General features: G+C 36.3%; 1 protein-coding gene across 1 annotated transcript in view; it reads right to left on the bottom strand.

Annotated features, from left to right (window-relative positions):
• The window catches only part of RARB (retinoic acid receptor beta), a 768,612-nt gene that overhangs the window by 518,097 nt on the left and 230,557 nt on the right, over positions 1-19,958 (bottom strand). Inside the window, exon 3 of the mRNA NM_001290216.3 lies at positions 19,660-19,711. The gene's annotated coding sequence lies outside the window, so the exon portion shown is untranslated. The remainder of the gene's footprint in view (positions 1-19,659; positions 19,712-19,958) is intronic.

Raw genomic sequence — 19,958 nt, 5'->3', positions numbered from 1 at the left:
AGAAAAATTTAGACTAACATCCCTCATGAATATAGTCATGAAAATCTTAAACCTTTAGCAAATTGAGCCCAGCAATATTTGAAAGGATACTACCTCATGACTAACCTAGTTTTATTCTAAAACAAAAGTAATATATTTTTTAAAAATTAATCAATGTTATTCATCACATTAACAGAGTAAAGAAGAAAAACTATCATCTAAGCGGATATGGAAAAAGTATCTTCAAAAATTCAATGCACATATTATGATAGAAACCCTCAGCAAACTAGAAATTGAGAGGGAACCCTCTTAACTTAATAAAAGGTTAGCATAATACTTAATGGTAAATGATAAGCAGCTGTTAGTATAATACTTAAGGGTAAATGACTAAATGCTTTCCCCTTAAGATTGGAGGAAGGGACATGAATATCCACTTTCACCACTTCTATTCAACAACGTATTAGAGGTTCTGTCTGGCACAATGAGGCAAGAAAAAGAATTAGCATTCAGTTTGAAAAGGAAGAGGTAAACTGTCTTTATTCAAAGACAATACAACTATGATTTGTCCATTACAAGGGCTAAGATATTTATTAAAAATGTGTAAGTAAATTTAGCAAGGTAGAAGGATACAATTAATATGCAAAAATAAATTATATTTCCAAATATTAGAAATAATTAGAAATTAAGATAAAATACAATACTGTTGACAAGAACAAAAAATGAAACATTTAGAGATAAACTTAATAGAATATGTGTAAGCGTCAACACTGAAAACTGTAAAATATTGTGAGAGAAGTTAAAAAAAAAACCTACATAAATGCAGAGATATACCATGTTCATGGCTTAGAATACTCAATATTATTAAGTTGTCAGTTTTCCTCAAATTGATTTATAAATTCAGCACAATTCTAATACAAATCTCAACAGGCTCCTTTGTAGAGTTCGACAAGCTGATTCTAAAATTTATATAAAAATGCAAAGAACCCAGAATAACCAAAATAATAATACAATAGAAATACAAAGTTCAGCCGGGTGCCATGGCTCAAGCCTGTAATCCCAGCACTCTGGGAGGCCAAGACGGACAGATCACCTGAGGTCGGGAGTTCGAGACCAGCCTGACCAACATGGAGAAACCATTTCTCTACTAAAAATACAAAATTAGTCAAGCGTGGTGGCGGATGCCTGTAATCCCAGCTACTGGGTGAGGCAGGAGAATCGCTTGAACATGGGAGGTGGAGGTTGTGATGAGCTGAGATTATGCCACTGCACTCCAGCCTGGGCAACAAGAATGAAACTCCGTCTCAAAAGAAAAAAAAAAAAAATAGAAAGTTGGAGGACTTGCACTATCTTAAAGTTACAGTTACCAAGTCATTGCAGCATTGTCATATAGATAAATCCATCAATAAAAGGAATAGAAAATTAAAAAATAGAACCACACGTAAATGGTCAATTGATTATTGATGGAAGAGCCAAAACAATAAGAAAATGAAAATCTATTCATCAGATAGTATTGCAAAAACTGAGTATTAATAACGAACTTACATCCCAGCTTTATACCACACAAAAGTTAGAGTGAATTAAAGATCCCGAGATAAAAAGATAAAATCTTACAGCTTCTTGAAAGCAACACAAAAATATTTTTGTATCCTTTGAGTAAGCAAAGATTTCTTAGAATAGAAAAAGCACTAACCAGTTAAGATTAATAAATTCATTAAATTAAAAAACTTCTATTTCTCAAAAAACATCAACAAAATGGGCAAGATATCCATAGGCAAACTATATCTCAAAATATTTATATCTAGAATGTATAAACTCTGGAATTCAATAGAAGTCAAACAAAAATAGGTAGATTTATATAGCAATTTCAGAAAAGAAGAAATGTGAATAAAAGCCATGGGAAAAAATGGTCAGCTTCATTAGTTAGCAAAGATATCCTGATTAAAGGAAAAATGAGATACTGCTTTATACCAAAAACATGGCTACAATTACGAAGAATCACAATAATGCACGTTGGTGAGAATATGAAGCAACCAAAGCTCTTATTCATCACAGACAGTATTGTAAAATGGTAAAACCACTCCGTAAAAAGGTTAGACAGTTCTTATGAAGTTGAATATATATATATACATACACACATACACACACACACTCTGTGATCCAGCAATTTCCCAAAGAGAAATGAAAGTATGTATCTACAAAATTTTGTATAAAAATCTTCATAGCAGTTTTATTTATAAAACCCCACTCTGGAAATAACCAAATGTCCATCCACCAAAGAAAAATAGATAAATAGAGATATATTAGTACCATTGACTACTTCTCAGCAGTAAAAAGACTATTAAAACATACAACGACATGGATGAATCTAAAAATATTATACTGCGATAGATACAAAAGGGTAGGTTCATTTATATAAACTTTTAGACTAGATAAAATTAATCTTAGACAATAAAAATCAGAACACTGGTTGACTCACAGTCTGTAGGGGAGGAGAACGGAGGAAGAACATGAGAGAACCTTCCATCCAGAGGGATGGAAATTTATCTTGATACAGACATTGCACACATGTGAGCATATGTCAAAATTTCTTAAACTCTATATGTAAGATCTGCACATTCACTATGTGCTTATTATGCCTTGATTTAAAAAATAATGCTCCAATGCACTTGGTTTAGAAGGAGTAGTTTAGGAAAACAGGAAAACATGCTATTTGAGGAGCCCATTAATTATCAATATTGGGTTTGACCATATGGGGAGGACCAATGTATTTCTATCTGGGCCCAAAGCATAGTTGCCCTACTTTAGATGCCTACAGAAAATAACTTCAACAGAAGTTGCTCCTTTTCCACACAAATCTGAAAGACTGGGAAAACAAAAAAGAGACCTGATGTCCTCACTTACAATGATGTTTATTTATAGCTCCCATCATATTGGACCAGATTTGTCCTAGAAATCCCACTGTCATGGGAAATGTCTCATGGGAAGCATTGTGGTTCATAAAGTAACCCCACATTTCTTGAAGGATTGAGGATCTCTTGTTCTTCCATGTGGTAATTGGTCTGATTTGAATGAAGACTTCCGTGGTCATGTAGGATTTGAAAACACTTGGTTTTATTAAAAAGCAAAAAAAATACAAAGCTTTTTAACAAAACAAAAAATTTGTTTTTCACAAAACAAAATTAAGCTTTTAAACAAAGCTTAATCATAAGACTTACTCAGAATATTTAATATGTAAACGTTCAGGTAACTCTTCAAAAGTGGAGCTACATTGGGAAAACTTTTTAAACCTACTTTTGCATGGAATCATTTATTCACTAAAAATGTCAGCAGAGAAGAGTTTCATGGAAAATAAGTTTGGTGGGCAAATTTAAATCTAAAATAGCCACAGATTTCTAGTAACTGCCATTACATGTACAAAGCATATATAATGTTCCTGAATTAAAAAATTAACTGCTTCTGGGAGGCCAAGGCAGGCAAATCACAAGGTCAGGAGATCGAGACCAACCTGGATAACATGGTGAAACCCCATTTCTACTAAAATTACAAAAAATTAGCCGGAATGGTGGTGGGTACCTGTAGTCCCAGCTACTCAGGAGGTTGAGGCAAGAGAATGGCGTGAACCCGGGAGGCGGAGCTTGCGGTGAGCCAGATCACACCACTGCACTCCAGCCTGGGCGACAGAGAGAGATTTTGTCTAAAAAAAAAAAAAATAAATAACTGCTTCTGGGGATACTACTTACTATTCAATTTAAGGGCTTAATCTAACTGACAGCTGAAATCTTTGAACAGATTATTGTTTCATCCTAATAAAGATTTTTGAGATTGCAAAGCAATAAACTCTATCTGAATTAATTTTTAACAATTCATTTTGATGACCAGAGGCTGACTGTGGGTTTTCTAGCATTCTCTTTCAGACATCTAATGGCACAAACAGATAAACAACTTGTTAGTCTACAAACTGAAGTGTCAAGAGATAACTCTTCAATTTGTTGATTCATCGGTCAGTTGATAAGCCTAAAATCATTATACTTTTCATACAAGCTCTTTTACAGAAAGCTCCCAAATCCATACTTTCTCTTCTCTGCCAAGTAACTCCAAAACAGTGTGCTGAAATAATATTTTATCAGGGGATTCTCCAACAAATGTCATAGTCATTTGCTTTTACAGGTTTTTTTTTTTTTTCCTGAGGACAATTCTCTCACTAAATGATCTCTACCCTCCCATCCCCTCTGTATATGGATAATAAGAGGGTTCTTAGCAATTAGCAGAGTTCCAGTAAAAATATTTCCCCCTAGCTATAATGTAGCAATGGCTAGAGAAAGCGGGGGAAATATTTTCCCTATCTACTTTAATAAATGCACATCCAAGTAGGGACATGTAGGGTATTGGCTCAGGAATGCCCCAGGCTCAGCATCCATCTTTCTGCTCTTTTGCCACTTCCAGACTGACAGCTAAATTACTGCACAGAAAAGGTTTCTGTGGGCTGTAAACATAATGCTGCCACTGAAACTGGTTTGTTGGCTAAAGGATAAACAGAGATTGAAGGACAATTTTTATTAACTGAGAAAGACGGGGTATAGGGAAGCAGAGCTGGATCTGCATGGAAAAATAAGCTTAGCAAACTCGAGGACAAAACGCAAGCAGACACACTCTAATTGTATTGCAATTTTACGTCAAGTGTCGGGGCACTAGCTAAATTACTGGAAGACCCCCACATCTGCATCTTAGACTGTGTTACATATTCTCTGTGCCTGATGGCTAAGCATAGAGGATGTTTTTACCTGTAAATGTAATTTAAATTTGAGCAATAAAGAGAGGGAGTCAACAGTTTTTCAAACCTGAATTGACACATTATTTTCAGGAAAATTAACTTTCTTTGCTGAGATGTCATGAAACTATAGAACTGGGAACCAAGATTGAGAAATGTGAGGAAAATCAAGTTCACATTCCCTAAATTATTTGCCAAATACGTACAAGTCACTGCGCTGCATATGTAGGAAAAGAGTCCTGGCCCCAGTGACCCTATAGCTCAGATTAAGCAGAAGAAAGACACATTCAAACATATGCCAGGTTACAAAAGTGAGGCTGGTAGGAATCACATTTTCCTTGGTATCTGTTTCATCTCCATTTCTCAGTGGTACAGTGTGATAGTGCAGCATGCATAGTAAGTAGTAAGTCTTTGATATACATCTCTTCAAGAAATTAATCAACTAATTTTTTTGTATAAAGGAGAAAGCAACAACAGCCATTAAAAAAAGCTACAGATATGTAACTTGGCAGGCTTCGAAGGGTGAACCACTTACTTCCAGTCAGAAGGGTCAAAGATAACTATGTAGATGTGGCATGTGATTTGGGCCTTATGGAGATTGACAGAGACACTGAGGGAGAACAAGTAACAGTGTGAACAGAGAAGTGGAGAATTCCTAGGGAGTAACGGGAAATAGCACCAGGATTCTTAATAGTCAGTAGCAACTGTCCAGGATAAAATAAACACACTCCTATCATTCTGATTTTCAGCAGCCGATCGGGAAGCAGATGCTATTTTTAGCCACCTATGTAACTGAAAACCTCCAACTCAGGTCATACTGTGACTTGGTAAATAGTTGTGGACAAAGCTATTCTTTTTCAAAATGTCAGAAAAACCCTTATGGGGAGGAAACACTATTCCTTTGTGTGTTAGTAGTTTTCCATTGTGATAAATTATGAATTGAAAACATACACTTTAATTTGATCCCTGGTTTAGTTTAGAACTGGCATTAGCTAGATCCGTAATTTAATCCAGACTCAACTCAGTGTATGGCACATTGCCTGACACGTAGTAGGTGCTTGAGAAATATTTGTCCAATGAATAACAGAAGTCAAGATTTTGTCATGTACTGAGGCATAGACTATTTTATAGATGGATAAAAGCGTGATTTACCAACTCTAGTCTCATACTTTGACATACTTTCAATTTAAAACTGTAAAATCCAAACACTCTGAATAAGAAAGTCTAATTCACAAGATAGTTGATAAAAAAAAAAAAGTCACTATTGTTTCCCAATTCTACTTTATACATTGAAATTGTGGTTTCTAACTTATCAAAGCCACTTACAGGCATCCTTATTGTAGCCATGATATTTGTTTCTTTTTCAACATCTACTGTTCCCCTAGCATTTTCACTTACAGGAATTACACGCACATTATTTACTGCAAAGTAAATTACCACATGGTTTTCTAAAGTACTTTGATGAAGTATCCACAGAAAGGGGGTCCAAGGGTCAGATGAGTTTGAGAAATGCTTCATACTCTTAGAGGTTTACCTTATAAGTAACACATTTAAGGTTCTGAGAAACCCTGCAATAAAGAAACCTAACTAACTGTTTAACCCACTGTTTCTCAAACTGTTACAACCATGGAACCTATTTTGAAAGGCTTTCACTGTCTTGCAGAACTAATGTTCTGAGGTGCATCCTTGGGACAACATCCTAACATAGAGATTATCAAGTGATGACCTGCATTGAATTTGTGTTTTAAAATTGAGGGATCAAACACATTAAGGGAAAGAAAGGTGGGAGAAATGTCAGCAAGGTCAGTGTGGGAACACCGGAACTGCACTTTCACACAGCATTGGTCTTGTTACCTCCTTCATGATCGTCATGCTTTCTCTGCTTCATTACGGCTGAGATATTCCCTTTGTATTACTCCCAAATTATTGTAGACGCACACATCACTTGCCTGGCTTCTGTAGATATTTGACTTTGGAATTCTTGTTCTGGGGTGTCTTACTCATTCAGTTTTCCCTAATACTCATTTAGGAGAAAGAAATGACAATATTCAAATGGCAGGAAAAAAAGGTCAGTGTAAAATGAAACCCTCCGGCCGGGCGCGGTGGCTCACACCTGTAATCCCAGCACTTTCGGAGTCCGAGGTGGGTGGATCATCAGGTCAGGAGATCGAGACCATGGTGAAACCTCGTCTCTACTAAAAAAATACAAAAAATTAGCCCGGCGTGGTGGCGGGTGCCTGTAGTCCCAGCTACTCGGCAGGCTGAGGCAGGAGAATGGCGTGAACCCAGGAGGCGGAGCTTGCAGTGAGCCGAGATCGCGCCACTGCACTCCAGCCTGGGCGACAGAGCGAGACTCTATCTCAAAAAAAAAATAAATAAAAAATTAAAGAAACCCTCCTTGTAGGTAGATAGAAGCCATTTCTAAGCCTGCTGAATTTCACACAAACAATAGAACCCAGTGAGGTTCTTACATCAGACCGTGGCCTCCAAATGGTATTTGCCCCATTCTTTGTATCTGAAAACCCAGAAGCTCTTAAAATAGTATGGGAATCTTGTGTTTCCAACAGTTATCGCTATCAAGTAGTTCATTTGTGCTCCCCCAAAAATGGATCTTTCCTCCCAAATGGTATCGCTCCTCATTTCTTGTTTTATATCTTGAGGCTCACATCACAGTGACTGGTTGCTCAGCTCCACCATGGGGTTACAGAGTGAACTCTCTCATCTACTAACAAACAGCACTGGGTCTTCACAGATCACCCCCATAAGGCGGTGACTGGCTCTCCAGAACGTGTCCTTATTCCCATTTTCATGCTTACTCTTCTGAGCTGAAATTGTAAGCTGCCCAGTTTTAAGATTCAAATTGTTATTAAACTTATTTTCCTAATTTTTAAATTAAACACATTTTAGTTTGCAAATTTTGAGGCAATGAGAGGACTGAGGCAGAACAGAACACTCTAAGGGACATTCGGCACACTATCATCACGCAGCCTTCTAGCAGCAAAGACCAACACAGAAACGAGAATCCTTCAAGATAAGAACCGCCACAGGGCAAAGACAACAGACAGCATTTTCTGTCTATGCCTCACGTGGATTCTCCAAATAGTGTATGCCACTTGTAGGTAGCATGGTTTGCCTTGAAAATAATAGGTCCCAAAAGCATTTAAATATCACATTGAGGGCTTTCAAGCATCTTTGGGAAGCTTTTTTTTTAACCCCAAGTAGTAGCACATTAAAGCTTGACAACAGCATGACAATAATATTAGCACACTGGGCATGTTCAACTGTCCTACTACTTACTTTATTACTTTGGGCTGAAAGGTCAATTTAAGCAGCGCCTCTCCTTATACCATAAGGCCGGAATTTCTCCTCCAAGTATTTTCCAATTTGAATCTTTTACCTTTTTAATCATGCCATTGATCAGCATTCCATAATTCATTACTATTCTCCTTCCTCTCAGCCAACTGATTATACTGTGACAAAAGAATATATAACCTTGTGGTCTAGACAGGAAGCAAAAGAACTAAGTTTCCAAAGCAGTAGTTTCTTGTTCATGTTTTTCCCGTTTGGCAAGAAGGAGTTTCAAGCAGGAATGCCATACACACAACCAACCAACTCAAATTAGATGGGGCGTTTGGATTATTGAGTGTTAGTTTGGGTGTGGAGGGAAAGATATATTACTTCTCCTTCTGGTGTGGTTGTGTTTCTGCAAAGTCTCAGATTAAATCCAAAGTATCATGGCATGTTTATATTTTAAATTTTACAGCCAAAGTAACTGTTTGTGATTATCAAAATCAGCTAGCACCCTGTCTTCCCTGGTATGATTTGGGTTTTGGATCTAAATTTCCTGCTAATTGCTGACATTCATTCATTCCATAAATATTTATTGAGCACCTACTAATGGGCCAATTTCTCTTCTGAGCACTGCAGAAGTAGCAGTGAAGAGGAAAAATTCCTAACTTGCAAGAAGCTTACTTTTAAATGGTTTTATTTTTAAGAAGCCCATTAAATCCTTACATTTTAGTGTCTCCATTTTGCACTTGTTTCTCTTTGTGGCACTCAAGACTCAGAAGAAGCATGGTAGATCTAGTCTGGTAAATGTCAATGCTGCATCCCAGGGCAAGGCAAGAGCTTGTGAAGAATTCACTCTGGCTACGCTTTAAAGGCTAATACCCCAATACCTGGATCCTCCCTAAAATTTAACAACAAGGCAATAGAGACACCAGTACTAGTACACTGGGCATGTTAAAGTTGTAGATGGCCATGGAGTTCATTTAATCATATTCTTCAGATGAAGTGACTGATGCCTGCAGGGACTAAAATACCTGAACATACCTTGAGAATGTAAGCTCCATAAAAAACAGGCTTTACCTTGAACTTTCCACATAGGGTTGTCATGATGGTTAAAGGAGTGTAAAGCACTCAGGGATTGTGTCTGGCAAATATTCCTATGCTATATAAATGGTTTGCTACTATTATTACTAATCACTACTGTATCCTCTGCATTTTGTATATTGTAAGTACTATAATTTTCTATTTCTGTAAACAATGGGTGGGGGGTCTTATTTTGATTATTTCATATAACTCCAACAGCACCTAAGAGTCCTTGATACCAGTGATTTCTAGTTAAGTGCTTATTGAACTGAATTAGAAAATTGTGTTTAAGTTTGTTCAATTAAGACTTCAAATATCGCTAATAGTCACAGTTTTGGGTTAAATTACAAGTATGCACTCGCTCTTCCCTCCTACCCTCCCAAAAGATAGGTTTAAGACCTACCCCTCTAAATATGACCTTATTTGGAAATAGGGTTGATGCAGATGTAATTAGTTCAGATGAGATAACACTGGAGTAGGGTGGGCCTCTAATCTAATATGACTGATGTCTTATAATAAGAGCCATGCAAAGACAGAGACACACAGGGAGAACGCCATGCGCTGGTGAAGGCAGAGATTGGAGTAATAGAGTTGCAAAGCCAAGGAACCCAATAGGTTCCTGCCAAAAAACCAGAAGCTAGGAAGAGCCAAGGAAGGATTCTCCACCACTGGTTTCAGAGAGAGCATGGCCTTGCCTGATACCTTGATTCCAGACTTCTAAGCCTCCAGAACTGTCCAGCAACAAATTTCTGTTGTTTTAAGCCACCCAGCTTGTGGCACTTCGTCATGACAGCCCTAGGAAACTACACTGACAATTCAGCCTCACTGTGTGGTTCATATGAGTAATTGGGTCAGATGGGCTCCCCTAATGGAGGCCACACCACATAATGTACTGTTCATTTTGTGTCTCAACATTTGTATATGTGAATATTTGCTACTGAAGGGTCAAGACAGAGTCGACTGTCCCAGCAAAAAGACTGCTCATTCATCTAACTTTCCCTGCCTCCCCCTCCGCTTTCAGATGTTCTTGACATATGCCAGATAAAACGCTGTGACAGTGTATACACAAGGAGCTACGGTGCAGTTCCCTCTGAGATTTACAGTGTTCTTGCCTTTACATCCAGGTGGTAGACAGTGAGATGAGGAATTTTTGAGACAGACTTGGGAACAAGATCACTCTGGGAAGTTTCCAGAGTTCTCTTGGTGACCTAAGAACTCTATTCAATAGGAAATCATTCCTTGCTTGGGTGGAATGATCCAGCATATAAATTTGGTACAATATATGCCAGTTAATTCAACAAAATGTCAAACTGTCTGGGAAAGCCCTTAGAGAAGGTTTACTTTCTGTGTCACCAGGGAACTGAGTGATAGGAGGGAAAGCTCATGAAAATGAGATTTTCTTTAACTTCTGCCCAAAGTGAATAAATCAGTGGGATTTTTCAAGTTCCCTCAATATCAATGAGTTTATTTCATAAAGCAGACAAGTATTTATAGACTCAAAAAAAAATCTTTCTCACAGTCCTGCTCTAGCCTAATTGCTTGCTTTCTTCTTTCTCTTCCCTTTCCTTCTTCCTTACCCTTCTCTTTGCATAGCTATCAGAGAAAAGATTTGTCTGACAACTGCTCTTACCTCTTAGCTTTTAAAAACCATGATGAGTATGGGAGGTCTTGACTTCATGAGGTGTGTGTGTGTTTTTTTTTTTTCAGAGGAAGATTTAGTCTCCCTGCCCTGAACTGGGTTTAGGGTAATTGTGTATCTGCTTGAGGGCTGAATGCAATCTCTAGCCTTTTTCATAAAGTTTATGGCCCTATTGCCCCTTTAAAGGTCTCATGTGGCTGATTGATAGGCTCATTTCTGATACTAACCATAAAGAATTGGCCATCCTGAAGATAAGCCGCTCTTCCCCTGAGCATTACAGGAGGGAAAGGAGGGCCGCCATTATAGATGACGCCTCCATTATAGATGGTGCTTCTTGCCTCAATCAGATTCATCCTTCAGCAGCCCAGGCAGTGCTTTGTGCTGAGGGACTGCACCATAGGACATATAAGCCCAGTCAAGTCCTTTTAGTTAATGGGTACCTAAGGATTAAAATATCATCATGGACAAGTAGAAGAAAGCACTAGCTAACAACCCATTTCATAACTTCCGTTAATTTTTTCTTGATGTCATTAACCAGAACAGTAGTTACCAGACTCACAGAATGTGTAATTTAAGTCTTTTTATTTAATTTATCTATTCCTCAATATTACCCCCCTTTTTGTTTTCTTAGTTTCCTTCTAAATCTATTTCTTTCCTCCTCAAACTATCTTTCAAATATCTTGTCATGGGAGAAGTATGGTGATTAGTGATTCTTAACTTCTGCAACTTGTGTCTTCTACAAACTGAGATAGGTCAAAATGGAACTTCAACTCTTAGAAAAGAGCAAGGGAAGGAGGAAGAGAGAAGCAGATGAAAGGGGAAAGGGGTTGTGGGTGGGGGAGGTACACTCAGAGTGGGAGAGGGGGACAGATTTTTTGACTGTTGAACTTTAATCCTTAAGATTTTTTTTTTTTTTTTTTTTTTTTTTTTTTTTTTTTTTTTTTTGAGATGGAGTCTCTCTCTGTCGCCCAGGCTGAAGTGCGATGGTGCAATCTCGTCTCACTGCAACCTCCACCTCCTGGGTTCAAGTGGTTCTCATGCCTAAGCCTGAGTAGCTGGCATTACAGGTGTGCGGCACTGTGTGCAGCTAATTTTTTTATTTTTAGTAGAGACAGAGTTTTACCATGCCGGCCAGCCTGGTCTCAAACTCCTGACCTCGAGTGATCCACCTGCCTCAGCTTCCCAAAGTGCTGGGATTACAGGCGTGAGCCACTGCACCCGGCCAAGATTTAATTTCCTAGAAGAATAGGAGTTAATTTGTTTCTAGCCAAAAACTGTGACGTAAATGTTGCAAAAGAACAGATATAACCTGACAGCCTAAAAAGTGCAGGAAGCAAAAAGAAGGAAAGACCAGAAGGCAATAGTGGTGCAAGCATAGGAGGAGAAGGGGGTTTGCAAAGGAAGATTTATTCATTGAAATATTTAATGAACACTTTTTACAGGGTAGGTATGGTACTAGGACTAGGGATAACAGATAACACATAGTCAATACACATAAGGAATCCATGTTTTAAGCAATGGAAACATCAGAACTGTACATCAAATAATTAATGAAACATTAAAATGTGATAAAAGGCATGTAGAAATGTTGCTAACTCCTCTACATCCACTCCAGTCTGGTTTCTTTCCTGCATCACGTCATAAAACAGCTCTTGTCAATGTCTGAACCAATGGACCACTTCCTCCATCTTGAACTTTTCTCATGCTCTCTGTGTATCATATTCTCTAGTTTTCCAAGTACTTCTCTGCTTCTTTTCAATCTCTTTTGCAAGCTCATTTATTTAAACGTGATTTCATTAAGGTTGGGTCCCATGCTCACTTTCGTTTTTCATACTCTCTCGGGCAGTATCATCCAACCTCTGGTTTCAATTGCCTTTAATATGACAAGGACGCTCAAATCACCTCTCCAGGCAGGCTTCCCTCTCTACAACCAGGTGCTCACCCGTGATCAGCCATACCCTTTTCTGGAGCCCTTCTCAGTGGGTGTATGTCAGTCTATATCTGCCAGTTAGGATCTATGCATTTCTCAGCTATGTGCTTTCAATGCTTAACATGGTATCCAGCATGTAGTAGTAGTTCACTGTTTACTTAACTGCTGACTGGAACTGAGGCAGGGCTTTGGAGAGAAATGCCCAGTACCACTCCACATAAGGGGAGGCTGGGTCATTCTGCTTCAGCACCGTGAATACATGACCAGACCGGTGAGCCAAGATACAGGAGAATAGCTTTTCAGATGATAACTTATTATGTGAGGTTTACATAAGATGAGGACAAAGGAGTATAATATGGCAATTAACAAAGATAATTTTTATTTTATTTTTCTGTTTTTTTTTGGTATTTTTGGAATTTTCTACAATGTTTATATAGTATTTTTGTAATTGGGGATTTTTAAAAAAATGTAAAGTTCTTTGGAAAACTGCCTTATGACAGGGTAAGAGAGAGAAAGGTGTGTGTGTGTGTGTGTGTGTGTGTGTTTATGTGTGCGTGTGCACATATGCATACATACATATACACACAGAATCAGGAGAGTAAAATGTCAAAGGCGACTGACATAGGAGCAGGAGTTCTAGAAGTTGAAACTCCTGGATTTGCCCATACTGCCTTTATTCCTAAGTGACTTTCAGGGAAGAATAGGGCACAAATTATTTACTCAAATGGCCTGTTACTCCTGATTCTCAAATATTAAAAACAGAAAAGTATTTATGGATAATAAATTTGATAGTAACACATGCTCTCCTGAATTTTAACTCAGTCCACAATCTTTCCTGATGAGTACCAGACATTGACATCCTAGTCAACCAATTCAAGTCATCAAAATAAACAACCTCTTATGAAAATGAAAACTGAATATTACATTGGAGAAATTGAAAGCATGTTTTATCAAAGGCAATTTGTTTATGATCTGACAGCCTTGAAAAATACAAGGAAATTATGTCTCTCACATTAAAATGAAAGGGCAGCAGCTTCTTTAGACATCACAGTAATAAGGGAATCTTGGGTTATTCAGAAAAAAACACCTGTTTATTCTACATGCTCAATATTCCATCTAACTTCCTCTTCTTTGCATTTTCTGGAAAAAAATGCACATTTCTGCACTAGTTAATGACTCATAGAAGAAAGCAATACCACTTTCTTTAAAAAAAAAATCTTCATTTTTGGTAAAAGAGAGTCATCTACAGAACAACCACAAAAGTCATCAAAGTGTTAAAATCACAGGATATACCAGGTAACAGTGGCTTCCTTCCCCATCAGGATCAGAGCCAATGGCCACCATTGCCTTCCTTCTATGCGTGAGCCCTTTGACATCATTCTTCATGTGTGTGACCCACATAAGTTGGGTTAGTGTAGAGCATTTGCATGCCAGATTCTCAGATATGGTACGAAGTGTCATTCAACTACACATTTATTTGAAGAACTTTTAGTCTCCGCTCACTGTGATAAGAAAAATAGTCATGAATTCTGTTCATACTTTGGGTAGAACAATCGTATCTGTATCTTGGTCAGTGTTTTTAGATGGTCACATATATAGCAACAGAAGACTTTACTAGAATATGTGGCACATCTAGTGAAAATACTTTTACAGTGCTTGAATCAGTATAACACTATCAGAACTATAGTCAGTGCTGCTTGTAGACTTCAAAGATTCATTTATTCTACTAAAAAAGTTTAAAATTATCCTCTATCAAAACATATTCAGATTTTTAAATGCAATGTCTAGAGGAAAAGCATAGTTATTAACCTGATAACGAGTTTTTTAACACTTGTATTTCAGAAAGCTTGAGTTTCACTAAAGTGACATAGTGATATTTCTTCCTACTTGATATAGGAGAAAATGATACACAAAACAGGAGAATCTCAGGTTGTTCGCAAGGAGTTTTAATAACTAAAATAATAACAATTTTTTAAAAATCTCACAATAATGTAGAAGTGACTCCAGAAACTGAAAAAAAAAAAAATGAAGTTCTAGAGTCGTATTTAAAATGAAGCATACTTAACCAATCTAAAAATCCCGAGGTGTACCAGGTAATAGTGACTTCCTTCTCCATCAGGATCAGAGCCAATGGCCACCATTGCCTTACTCCTATGCACGAACTCCTTGACATCATTCTCCATGTGTGTGGCTCACATAAGCTGGGTTAGTGTAGGGCATTTGCATCACAGATTCTTTGCTTTCTTCCTGTTCAACTAAATGAACCTCATGGATTATGACATTTGATCACTACCTTGGCATCTAACAGCATCAATGAGTAAAACACTTCTGAGGCCTGGGAAAGCTGACCCATATGGGATTAGTCTGGAATTCAAATTGTGGGGCTCTGAGTCTAGTGGAACAGAGAGACACAGAGCTCTGTCATTTTCTAGCTACATGGTCTCAGAACCTTAGTTTCCTAAAAATATAATTTGGAAAAACCACACTTCCTTCTAGTGTTGTTTTATTAGCTCTCTTCCTATTTTCCCTAACTACATTTCACAATAGCACTGGGTGAAGTTGACCCCTTTCATGGATATTTTTTGCCACTCTTTTGGAATAATTAGCTACATAAGCCATAACTGTCTCTCGGTAATTCTATAAGACAGTTTCAGTGAGCACTAAGCAGGAGTTCTTTTTTGGATAACTTACAACTGTATGTGAAAAAGACATTTAAAAATGCTATTTTTGATTGCTGATGTCATGGACATTGGCAAGAATATTGAAGCTGTATATCAAAAAGATACTTTGGGGATAAATCAGCATAAGAATAAAATAGAGCTCCCATAAAATTGAGAGATCTCTTTTGTATCAAAGTATATTTATGAGATAATATTTCAACTGAAATGGAGAAAAAATGGAAATCTATTGCCATTATATTACTATTTTGTTGAGATGGCAATCTTATAATGAAATCTAAAACTCCAGTTCTCATATCCTAAAGTGGATGCTTGCTTGCTTTAATCTTGGTTATCATTATATCACTAAAGCAATCATCAAAATTAGCTTTGGCATTTTTACAATAAGGCAAGCTAGGTTCTATCCACCCACCGCTGCCCATCTTCCTTAACTTTTGTAATCCCTTCTCTGTCTCTATGGCTGCCCTGAGAATAAAAGTTCAAAAATATTCAACTGCAATCAGAAATGAGGAGATCATTCGAATCTGGCATTTGGTAATTAGAGTCTTCCCTGAGCCTTGCTAAGTCACAAAGTAGTGCTTAATTCTATTTGACTCTCCTAAACCACAACTTCTGAGACTCTTAGTGATATGGACTAAGAGGAGCTACCAGTGCTTTTCTTATCTTGAAGCTGAGTCTGAAAATATAACCCGTGGTAACCCTGTGCAAGATCCTAACATCCCAAGGTCTGTTTCCTCATCTTTTTAAAAAAAAAAAAAAAAAGTCTCAAACTACAAGGTCTACGGACCCCTTTGAACCTCAAGATTTTATGACTGTGGTAGTCTTTAAGTTGTTCCTTAAACTTTAGTCAAATTCCACCGGCATAGATTTTGCCTTATTGGAAGCATTTTTCACTCACATTTATTTCATATTTTTATTTAGGCCTGTACATTTTTGTTTTTTTACCTTATGTGCATTTAAAAATCGACAAATTATGACACTGCCATAAATACTAAATTGGCTTCACTTACTTCAAATAGAAGGTAGCCCATAAAAAGAAATAGGATGGAAAGCAAACAATGTAATTGAGTCCAAGTTAGAAGGCATGGCTTAAGGAAAGCTCTGAGTCTCAAATCTGATATCTCTCAGTTACAAAGAGATACAGAAGACATAACACCTTCAAATCACCTTTCTTATCAAGAGAATCAGAAGTTTTAGAGCAAAATTGAGAGGGGAATAAAATAATTTCCTCAAAATACAATTTGTATGATTTTAATCATTGCAGGTACCACCATTGGTATAGATTCTATTGTATTTGCTGGGGAAAACCTTCTGTGGCTATTCAAAAGGGGGTGTTACATCTTTAGACTCAACTCCAGACAACTGAAGCACTGATACCCTTTATTATTCCTTGTCTCTAAGAAGCATCTCAGAAGTTGTCCTAAGTTACACAGTTCTCGTCTGAAAAGCCAAAGGGGAGTTTCACAAACTCTATGAGTTGTATGACTCAAGTTTTGTCGTTCCTAGTTTTGAACATGTGCATTTAAAAAAACCTTTGAGACATGATTCACATACTCTAAAATTCACCTATTTAAAATGTACAATTGAATTTTCCCATGTATTTACAGAATTTTGCAACTGTCACAATGGTCTAATTTGATAACATTTTAATTTTTCCCAAAAAGAAATCCTATACCTAATTAGCAGTAACTCCCCATCTCACCTCTACTGGCCCCAAACATAGGCAACCAATAAGCCACTTTCTGTCTCTAAACATTTGCACATTCCGGACATTTCTTGTATATGTAGAATCATACAATATGTGTTTTTTTGCACTGGCTTCTTTCACTTAGCATAGTGTTCTCAAGGTTTATCCAGGTTATAGCAAGTATCAATACTTATATTTCATTATATTGACATATCATGATTTAAGCAGGCTTTGATTTTCAGTTATAATACACAGTGAACATTTTGAACATGTATCATGTGAACTTAAGTAACCTTGTAGAATATTTTCTGAGAAGTGAGGCAGTTGGGTTATAGAATGTCTATAATTAAAGTTTTAATAGATACTGGTCAATTTCACACTAGAAAAAGTTATTTCATGCTACGTTCCCATCTACAAGGAATAAGAGTAGAGATTTCCTATGGCTTTGCCATTGCTGGATATTATTGAGGCTACATTTTGTCAATAAAAGGCAAAACACAAAATATAGCTTTTATATGTATTTAAATATTAGTATGCTTGAACACTTTTTTCATTTTCTTTACTGGCCGTCGCTATTTCTTCTGAGAATATCCAGTTAATATAATCTATTTTCCCACCAAATTATTTATATTATTTTAATGGATTTATTGATATAAACACGTTCCATTTTTCATTTACAAAAATGCTTCAGCTTCATTTATCTTTTGCCATAAAGATATTTTATACTTCTATATTCTTGTTTCCCATCATTGATTCTTGATTCTACTATTATTTTCTTAAGTTGAAAACCACTTTTATTCTATATTAAATTCCAATATTTAGATTTTTTCCAGATGTGCTGTTCTACTGATTTCATTCTTTACTCTTATGCCAGTGCCAAAATGTTTTAATTATTTAAACTTTATTAGAGTATATGCTGTGTTACTAAGTTGGGTAAGTTCTTTTTTCAAAAATTCATATACTTATTCTAACAAATCAACATTAACTTGAATCACTTTTTTCCTCTAAATTGTAAACCATAGTCATTATTAACACTTAACTAGTATAAAACACCTTTCTCTCCAAAATATAAAATTTAGTGGATCAACATATTATTATTAAACTGCAACAATAAATTAGCATTATTCCAGCTTACATTTAAGTTTAGATAAAGCAGCTAGCTCTGAATAAAAAGCAATAGGAAAATAAAATACCAAGAAAGCTGTCTGTGTTCAAATCTTAAAGTACTCAACTGAATGTGTAACTACACCAAGCAGAGAAGAAAACAAAGTTACAAAGTCATAAAAAATACATTAAGTTCAAAATCAATTAGAAAAAAGCAATCAAGTTATTTGGAACTGCTATAGAAATTCTGTTTTAAAATACCAACTGAACTTACCCAATAGATACACTGGAAGATTAAATAAAAATATGATTATAATAAAAGAAATTTATAGTTAAGCAGCATCACATCAATTCCTTATTTCTTCCCAGTACACTTTGATATGTTTACCTTTGCTATTATTTGTATGTACATATTTATCTTTCTCCCAAAATAATAACGAAGGAAATGATGAATAAATTAAATTTTATTTTCACTGTAATTAGATTTTCCCTCTAAAAAGTATTCTATCTTTTCAAATCACTATGAATTAAACTATAATGTTTCCTTCATTGCAAAAGTTCCAGGCCAAGTATGTTAATCCTTTCTCAGGAAAACTCAGGACCATTCTGGTAATAGTTATGTCTACACAACCTTTCCCAACAGTTTGAAACATGAATTTTAAGGGGATCCATATGATGTAAGTCTTTGAGTTGTTGAGATAAAGTAAATTTGGCCACTTCTTCCTTACACAAATGCTTCATCTGTGTGAATACATAAATTCTGCTTTTACCCCATCCCAAAAGAAAAAGTCTTTTCTTACCTACTAACAGATAAATTACATAAATAATTTCATTTAATCTTCAAGATAACCCTGCAATCTGGGTATCAGTACTCACACTCTACTCATGAAGCCAGCGAGTCTACCTACCTTAACCAAGGTCATGGCTAACACTGGAAACTCCAATTCAGTTTCTGCCATCTACTCCCATGATAAACTTTATGTTTCCCCTTCAGCTTCATTGTTTTCTAAATCAACTTGATTTTTTTCCTTCTGTATTCCAAGAATTAGCAAACTACAATCTGCAGGACAAATGTTGCCTGTTTTTATAAATCTCATTTTATTGGAATGTAGTCACACCATTTGTTTACATTTTGACCTGAGCTGCTTTTGCAACACAACAGCAAGGTTGAGTATCTGTAACAGAAGCTGTAGGGTCCATAAAGCCTAAGTATTCACTATCTGGCCCCTTATAGTTTGCAACCCTCTGCTCTATACCATCCACGTGTTAGCAGAGAGAAAATAAGACATTCTATCTCTACAAAATATACATAAAAGAACCATTTATAGAACCATTTTTATATATAGTAAAAATATAAATATTGGTTTTTATGTGTATATAATAAGGACTTTCAAAATTCATATGCCAAACTACGGTTATATTTGAAGTGCTAGATTATGGAGAACTTCCATGTTTTTCAAAATATTTGTTCAAATGTAATTTACTTTTTCTTTCATTACTTACCAGGTATGGGTCTTAGGGCAAGTTACTTCATCTCTGCAGTACTCTGTTTTATCTGTAAAATAAGTGGCTGGATTAGACAGTCTTCCAAATCCTGTTCAATTTTAACATTCTATCACTGTATTTAACACGGCTATTCAATTTTCTTATATAATTTTGATAACTATTTTAATAGGGAAAGATGCTTGCCAGGGATCCCACAACTTAAGATTTTCTATTTACGATTTCTAGTGGAATGTCATTTTCACCGACAACTCACTTTTTTCAGATTCTATCAATGTAAACTCTTTCAAGAGAAAAGT

This window comes from Homo sapiens, chromosome 3, assembly GCF_000001405.40.
Source record: "Homo sapiens chromosome 3, GRCh38.p14 Primary Assembly".
In the NCBI taxonomy this organism is placed as follows: Eukaryota; Metazoa; Chordata; class Mammalia; order Primates; family Hominidae; genus Homo; species Homo sapiens.
The sequence above is the reverse complement of the archived record's forward strand: the minus strand, read 5'-3'. Positions and strand labels throughout refer to the sequence as shown.